The 8,782-nt window shown below is 49.1% G+C and overlaps 2 annotated features.

The window, feature by feature from the left end:
• Positions 1,713 to 2,212: an enhancer, noted in NCBI's record as "H3K4me1 hESC enhancer chr1:25525541-25526040 (GRCh37/hg19 assembly coordinates)". NCBI's record gives its function as "activates a minimal SCP1, AML or CMV promoter by ChIP-STARR-seq in naive H9 embryonic stem cells {active_cell/tissue: H9 hESC(naive)}" and the evidence as "EXISTENCE:reporter gene assay evidence [ECO:0000049][PMID:30033119]".
• Positions 4,278 to 4,452: a silencer, noted in NCBI's record as "fragment chr1:25528106-25528280 (GRCh37/hg19 assembly coordinates)". NCBI's record gives its function as "represses an EF-1alpha promoter that drives an FKBP-Casp9 reporter gene in an ReSE screen in K562 erythroleukemia cells {active_cell/tissue: K562}" and the evidence as "EXISTENCE:reporter gene assay evidence [ECO:0000049][PMID:32094911]".

An 8,782-nucleotide genomic window follows, 5' to 3' on the forward strand; every position in this document is an offset into this window, starting at 1 on the left:
CTCCACCCCACTGGCCAGCCTGGGAGTCAGGATCCCGGCTCAGCCCCCTGCCTGAGTGTTGAGGGCAGGAAAACAGTGCATAGAGCGCTCCTAGCCCCACGGCTGGGTAAACAGCAGCGGCCACCAGTCCCATTAAGGGACCACACGCCCTCTCTCATGCTGACTAAGCCTTGCTGTCTTTGAGCCACCCGTGTGGCCATCATTTGCTGTGTTGGGCAACTCCGTATCTTTTAATGCCTGCGCTGGTAACCTGTGGCTCCCCCAAAACTATGGCTGGGCCCATAAATCCTCACCCGGCACCTCCAAGATGTCAGCCAGCCCCTGGGACACCCCGCTGAATTTACGAGCTCTAAAGTCCAGATTTGCTCTGATGAGGGAAGCAAAGGATCATGTTGCCCATCTGGGACCTGGTGCTCAGAAGCCATAAACCACGCTGGTGACAGCGCCATGACAGGTCGAGGGCCCTCGGCGGGTCATTTGCACGCTGGTTAATGGCCATGATGATGAGGCAGTAGCTGCTTGAGAACCCCTTGTGGGCCACTAATGAAGCTTTAAATCTGTCACGGGAGGTTAAGGGAGGAGGTGCCTATTTTATCTTCTTTTTGGGGTGTTTAATCCCAGCTTTTGTCTTTTTTCTCTCTTACTCCTTTTTGTTTGTTCTACCTTGGCAGGCGCAATCTCACCACGGCCCTCTGAACACACACGTCGAATTCTAACTTGAAGGCACTGGGGAGTGACAGCCACTACATTTCCCAATCTTTTTTTATTGTCTTTGGAACAATAGTCTGCTGTGTTCCAAAGCACACAGGCTCATCTCAGATGGGGCAAAACAGAAGGAATGAGGAAGTCTGCGGGGAGCAGCAGCTGAGCGGGCAGAGGAGAGAAAGCTGCCTGGGGGCAGTGCCCACCTGGAAACAACGATGGGGAAGTCAGGGGCACTAACGTCCCCACCGGTCCAGCCAGCCTTAGCATGGCCTCAGCCACCACTCCCTTGACTCCTCTCTCCCTGGACCCAAACCTCAAGCCCACAGGACTAAATAGCCATTGGAGAAAAGAGCCGGGACTAACTCTCTTGCCTTGTCCTGGGGCAAAAACTATCAAGAGTCTTAACCAAGGAAATTACTAACAACTAGTACTCTTATTTGATCTAAGACTCTGTGGGCGTGGGTGTGGATGTGGGTCTGTGAGAGAGGAAGAGAGAAACAGACAGAGACACAGATAGACAAAAAGAGAGAGGCAGAATTGAGGGCAAAAGAGGGGTATAAGAGGAACTATTTGTTGGCACAGGAAAGAAAGATCTAGCATCTCTTGGCAGGCTGTGAATACCCTTTAATTAAGTAATAAATTTGGAACCAGGGAAATAAGTATCAGTAGGGAAACACTCGGTTTAATTACCCATTCATCTGCTTGGCTCTGCCAGGGCGCTGCTGGGCCACTGTTGCCAAGACACACCAGCTCGTGGGCACTCGGGACTGAGGCTGCCCAAGCACACATTCCAGTTTGGTTCCAGCTCCTTCCGTGTTGACAGAGAGAAAGAGAAACAGAGGTTGAGCGAGACAGAGGCAGAGAGACAGCGACGGCACAGAGGAGCAGCTGTAATTCCATCAAAGGGCTCTGGGGACCCTGTAAGCCACCAGACACAACCAGAGTGGTTTGTCACCAGAGCCCCAGTGGAATTGACTCAGAAGGCATTGTTGCAGATTTTTCCAACGTGAAGCCAAAATACAGAGGCCGAGTGTGTTCTCGGAGCCGTGCGTCACTGCGAAGGAGCAAACCCGGCAGGGTTGATCCCGTGTTCACCTCCTATAGCCATTGCAGTGAGCAGTGTAGCCAGCCACACACTGTGGGCGCCTCCACCAGGAACTCAGAGCCCCGCAGAGGGCGAGGCAGTGTCCGGGGAGACAGCCTAGAAACCAGAAGCAAAAAGCCTTCAGGATTCTATTTCCACGTCCAGGGTAGAGCTGAAAGACCTGAGGCTCTGGGCCTAATTACAGAGCTTGGGGTCCTGGGTCAGTGCCACAGAAGCCACTCACAAGGCCCTCCCAAGGTGTCGTGCAGAAGGAGAAGGTGGGAGGAGCCGAGAGGAAGGGAAGACCCCCCTGAGCAACGTGAGACCAAGGCTCGTGAGACCTACACTGCCTTGTAGGTCTCTGGGGTCTGTGGCTTTGAGTTCGGCAGCATTTCTAGAATCCAAGAGAAGAGAAAAGTGAGGAGGCTTTGGGAGACAACTCTAAGGTGCCCAGGGGTGACGGAGGAGGTACTTCCTGACCTCCACCAGGGATCCCAAGCCTCAGTCCCTTGTTTCCAGGGCTTTCTCCCCACGTGGAGGATGGGGGGAGGTGTGCTTAATGGGATGGACCAAACCTTTCTTGCTTTAGCCTCTGATTCCTAAAATCTGCTCCTATAAACAGCTCTCGCCCAGCAGGCCCCTTGTGATGTGTCAAGAGTAAACGAATCTGAAACAGCAAAGGAGATCGCCTTCCAAATAGTCTTGACTTTAAGAATTAAGGCAAAGAAAGCATTTGCCGAAGGACGTTTCCAATTTGGCCAAATCCAGGGCTTTGGAAAAATATCTTAAGACATTTCACCAAACCCAGAGCAAAGCCGGCAGGGCCCCACTCTGGTCATTATGAGTTATTTGCAGCTTGTTTCTTGCTGAAATCATTTTCTTCTCTCTGCAGGCTGAGCTCTTCTGAGCCAGCTTGATTTCTGCAGCTGTTATGCACAACTCTTCGCCTTTACAACCTGACAGGCATTTGGAGACAGTGCTGGCAGGCAGCAGGAATGTGAGGGCCCCCGCTCCAGCCCGAGCCCTCAAGGACCCTGGCCCAGTCTCTTTGTGCTACAGAGGCATCCACCATAGTGCCCTGGGATGGCGTGCTCACAGGACGACACGAGTCGACATTCGCCCAAGCCAGGCATGGCCAGGCTGGCAAAGGCCTGCCTATCTGGGCCAGGTCTGTAGGGGAGAAGCATCTACGGGAGAAGGCCAAGTACCACGTGGTATCCAAGCTCTGACAGGCAGGGAGTCAGGACAGATGGCAGGGGCACTGGGAGAGGGTATGCGGGCACCTGGAGCTTCCGAGAAGAGCCTTAATGAACAGGCAGGGCTGAGAGGAAGTGTGGCTTGGTGGATGAGCAATGCGGCTTTGGCAGCCGATAGGGCTGGATTCGAAGCCCCACCTTGCCACTCACAGCAGTGTGGTCTGGAACCGGTAGCGTAAACCTCTGAGCCTTTGCTCCCTTGTCTGGAGGGCAAGGACCACCACAGTGCCCAGCCATAGGGCTCTCACGCTCCGAAAATCAGCTCCTGTGTGTGAAGTTTTCTCTACGTGAGTGGAGTGGCTCTTTAGGCTCCTGCTTGGTGTGTGTTTGTTTGTCTGTTTGCTTTTTGAGACAGGGTCTCTCTCTATCATCCAGGCCAAGGCTGGAGTGCAGTGACGTGATCATGGCTCACTGCAGCCTCAACCTCCCAGGCTCAAGTGTTCCTCCCACCTCAGCCTCCCAAGTAGCTAGAACTACAGGCAGGCGCCACCACACCTGGCTAATTTTTTTTACTTTTTATAGAGATGAGGTCTCACTATGTTGCCCAGGCTGGTCTCAAAATCCCAGCCTCAAGCCATCCTCCTGCCTTATCCTCCCAAAGCACGAGGATTACAGGTATGAGCCACCATATCTGACCCCTCTGCATCTTTTCTGCATTTCTTGATCCTCCCACCTCATCATATTTAGTCCCTCCTCTGTTACAGTTGTTTCTGGACTTGCCACTCCCCTGAGCCTCATTCCATCCCACACGGGCCTGCCCATCCAGTAGACCCCACTGCAGCTCCTCTGACAGTCATGGCCATCAGCTTCCATGTTCACCCTTCACCCACAGCGCTGGAGGTCGCCTGTCGGGAACAGGCTCTCTGGAGCCCTCCACAAGATCCGGTCAACAGGTAAACAAATCCCCGGGAATGTGTCCTCTGAAACTGCCTCCTCTCCCTCAGTAATGTGATCCTAAAGGCCTGTCCCACACCTTTTTCTCCAACAGCGTGGCCAATTGAGAAATAGGGAGGACTTGAGGCCAAGGAAGGATCTAATTACCAACAGCTTATGCTCATAAGCCACCTACCCATTTCACCTTCCGCACCTCCTGCAAAAAATGAGAGTGGGGGCTGTTGAGAACCAGGGGATGTCTTTCTATATGGTTTGGATGTTTGTTTGTTCCCCCCAAATCTCACACTGAAATATGATTCCTAATGTCGGGGGTGGGGCCTGGTGGGAGATGACTGGACCACCAGGGCAGATCCTTCATGAATGGGTTAACGACATCCCCTTGGTGATAAGTGAGTTCTTGCTCCGTGAGTTCACATGAGTTCCGGTTCTTTAAAAGTCTGGAACCGCCCCCCAACCCCACTCTTTTGCTCCCACTCTCGTGCCTGCTCCCCCTTTACCTTCCACCATGATTGTAAGCTTCCTGAGGTCCTCACCAGAAGCCGAGCAGATGTTGGCACCATGCTTCTCATACAGCCTGCAGAACCGTGAGCCAATTAAACCTCTTTTTATAAATGACCCAGCCTCAGGTATTCATTTACAGCAATGCAAAAACAGCTGGCCGGATGCGGTGGATCACACCTGTAATCCTGGCACTTTGGAGGGCCAAGGCAGACAGATTGCCTGAGCCACAGGAGTTCGAGACCAGCTTGGGTAACATGGCAAAACCCCGTCTCTACTAAAAATACAAAAAAAAAAAATTAGCTGGGCATGGTGGCGGGCACCTGTAATCTCAGTTACTCAGGAGGCTGAGGCAGGAGAATCACTTGAACCTGGGAGGCAGAGGTTGCAGTGAGCTAAGATCGCACCACGACACTCCAGCCCGAGCGACAGATCAAGAGTCTGTCTCAAAAAAAAAAAAAAAAAAAACAGCCTAGCACACCTTTTCTCAAGAGCACCCACAAACACTTTTGTTATTACTTCTGCCTTGTGCACCTGTCAACACTTCCCAAGACAACAAACATAGAACGCTGGGGAATAAAACACCAACATGCCCCAGCACATTTATTTCCAGATGCCCTAGTGTGACTCTGCTTACAAAAGGGACCTTTTTCCAGCAGTCAAAGTCAGTCTCTGGGTGGGATCATGAGCCCACTCCTAGGCAGGGTAATGTGTTTACAGGCCAACACTGAGAGTTAAAAACTAGCCCTGGATCTAACAAATTGTCCTGACCATGCATTTGTTTTTTGCCTCGTTTCCTTCCCATGGCCCGACGATGGCAAGCTGCAGGTACATCTGTTCTGAAGAGCAGCCTCCCGCCCTTGGTCACTCTGTCCCGTGTCTCTCAGATGTTTAGTCCCGCGGACTGGGACCTGCTACACTTGGGCCAAGGCTTCTGGCTCCTCTCACTAAAGGCCTCAATTTAACTTAACGGACTAAATAAGGAACCATTTCTATATGATTAATTAATTAGGGTTCTGCTAGGAAGGATAATAATATAATAATGTAAGTAAGACTGCAAGGCCTAGCTACCAGCCTATAAAAAGAACACCAAGCACAGCACAATTAGGAAGACATTCAAGACGGAGGAAGCTCGGAGCCGTGGACTCAGCTCTGACTAATGCCAAGATTGGTTCATGGGGTTCAAATTCAGGGTCCAGCTGGCCTGCCTTAGAGAGTTACCTGACTTTTTTTTTTTTTTTGACAGAATTTTGCTCTTACTGCCCAGGCTGGAGTGTAATGGCATGATCTCGGCTCACTGCAACCTCCGCCTCCCAGGTTCAAGTGATTCTCCTGCCTCAGCCTCCCAAGTAGCTGGGATTACAGACATGAGCCACCACACCCAGCTAATTTTGTATTCTTAATAGAGATGGGTTTCCTCCATGTTGGTCAAGCTGGTCTTGAACTCCCGACCTCAGGCAATCCACCTGCCTCAGCCTCCCAAAGTGCTGGGATTACAGGTGTGAGCCACCGCGCCCAGCTGAGAATTACGTGACTTCTCTGAGCTGTTGCCTTCTTCTGAAAGATAGAAGAATTGATGTGTATTTGTCAGAGTATTGTGGAAATTCAATAAATGCAATATATGAAAATTACCCAGCACAAAATAGGCTCAAAACACCTGGAAAATATTGCTTAAGAAATTCCAGACCGGGCGCAGTAGCTCACACCTGTAATCCCAGCACTTTGGGAGGCTAAGGCACGCAGATCATCTGATGTCAGAAGTTCGAGACCAGCCTTACTAACAAGGCAAAACCCTGTCTCTACTAAAAATACAGAAATGGTGATGCATGCCTGTAGTCCTAGCTACTGAGGAGACTGAGGCAGGAGAATCACTTGAAGCCAGGAGGCAGAGGTTGCAGTGAGCCGAGATCACATCACTGCACTCCAGCCTGGGCAACAGAGTGAGACTCTGTCTTAAAAAAAAAAAAAAGAAAGGAAAGAAAGAAAAAGAAAAAAAAAAGAAAGAAATTCCAGTGCAGTAGCTGGTACTAAAGATGGAAATAAATGCAAAGAGTTTTGTGTAATGTGGTCCATTCTGTTTTATTGGCAAATGTCTTCTTTTTCTCTGCACTTTAATATGCACATTCACAAGTCCTTTGAAAGAAAGTGCATGAAAATTTAAAACAGATGTAAATTAAAATCCCAACAGGAATCATCTTCATTGATTACAGATGGATAAATAGTTGTTATTTACAGATGAGTCAAGGTGATCCTAATTGGTAGGTTTTCTGGTTGGTATTTGTATTTGAGGGCATTAGCATAGCAATTGAAAGCCTCTCGATGTCCCCTCTCCACGCCTCACCCAAGCCTCTTATCTCCTCCATGCTGCTCCTACTCTCTCCCCACCCCCCAAAAACATTCTTGGCCACTTCAGTACTCAAGGTCTCCCACCTTGGGTCCCTCAACTCTCCTGGAGCTAATGACCCAATTCCTCAAGGCCTTGCTAAATAACCTCTGCATCTATCTAACCCTTTTTCTGTAAAGAGCCAGATAGTAAATATTTTAGGCCATCTGTCAACTCTGCCACTGTAAGCTGAAAGTAGCCACAGACAATATGCAAATAAGTGAGGCTGTATTCCAATAAAATGTTATTTACAGGCCGGGCTTGGTGGCTCACGCCTGTAATCCCAGCACTTTGGGAGGCCGAGGCAGGCAGATCACGAGGTCAAAAGATCGAAACCATCCTGACCAACATGGTGAAACCCCGTCTCTACTAAAAATACAAAAATTATCTGGGTGTGGTGGCGTGAACCTGGCTGAGACAGGAGAATCACTTGAACCTGGGAGGTGGAGGTTGCAGTGAGCCAAGATCGTGCCACTGCACTCCAGCCTGGGCGACAGAGCAAGACTCCGTAAAAAAAAAAAAAATAATAAATAAAAAATAAAAAATTAACCGGGCGTGGTGGTGCACACCTGTAATCCCAGCTACTCGGGAGGCTGAGGCAGGAGAATCACTCGAACCAGGGAGGCAGATGTTGAAAGTGAGCCGAGATCGCGCCACTGCACTCCTGCCTGGGCGGCAGAGTGAGACCTTGTCTCAAAAAAATAAAAATAAAAATAAAAAGCAGATTGCTGGGCCCCACTGCCAGAGCTTCTGATTCAGTAGGTCTGGGTGGAGGCCAGAGAATTCACATTTTTAACAAATTCCTGGGTGCTGCTGTTCCAGGGACGACACTATGGGAACCACTGGCTGCATGTTAAAAAAAAACCTGAAAGTACACTGCCCCCTAGTGGGAAGTTCCTAGAAGTACCCCATACCAAATATTGCTTTGATTTTAGAATATACAAAAAATTGCGTTATCTTTTGCCATGGAGAAGAATCAAATTCACAAAGCCAATTTGTCATTCATATACTTGGGATTCCATAACCACATTCCAAGCTTCTCTCAAGAAATGAGGTGTCACATTATTTACAATAACATGGCAGTGATTTAAAATCAAGTTAAACCAGAAACATATTATTTTCCACCAGGGGAAAAACACTTTAAATAATCTAAATAGAATAAAACTGCTGCTGGCTCTGTTCTCTGGCCACTCTCCCATTGCCAGACGCACAGACCTCTCCTGAGAAGCAAAATCTACACCCGATCCAAGCTGAGGCAGCTGATGAAATTCAGCAGGAGATGGGTCAAAATCAGCTCGTGTCAGACCCCAGAGTCTGTGATCTTTGGACACACAGAACTGTATCAGTGGTGAAGGACCCCATTAATAGGCAACTGTTAAATATTTGCTACACATGGTAGAAAACAATGAAAGCCTCTTGTTAAAGCTGAGAGCTCCTGCTCACCTCTGGTTTTCATTTCTCACATCATATTTACATTAACCCAAATTTGTCACTGGTTTCCACCGTGCATTCAAAATTTCCACAAAAGCACTTCTGTTTTCCCCATGAAAACTGCATTCCGACATGCCGGAAGTGAAATTACCCACTCCTACCTATCTGTCCCAGCAAAAGACCTGGGTCTCTAACTCTACCTCTCACAAAGTAAAAGGGTGTTACAGTCACCAATGGCAGATGACTTGGGAGTCCATGCTTAGCAAGCTGCAGGGTTTTGGCAGCATAGAGAAACATATTAGAGCCATGCTACAAAAGATGGCCTGGTACCAGGAGAACGGAAATGACAGGGACCGGAATGGTTTTTGAGGCCAAAAATTTATATTTGATCTCCAGATGTGATGCAGCTGACAGCTAATTAGTTTGACTTAGATCTACACAAATCCAACCCCCCTTTCTTCCACACATGCTGTGGGGATGCTGGTGTGAAAATGTGTCTGCCTGGGGTCGCGCTTTGATTGAGAATTCTCT

The sequence above is a fragment of the Homo sapiens genome, chromosome 1 (assembly GCF_000001405.40).
Source record: "Homo sapiens chromosome 1, GRCh38.p14 Primary Assembly".
NCBI lineage: Eukaryota > Metazoa > Chordata > Mammalia > Primates > Hominidae > Homo > Homo sapiens.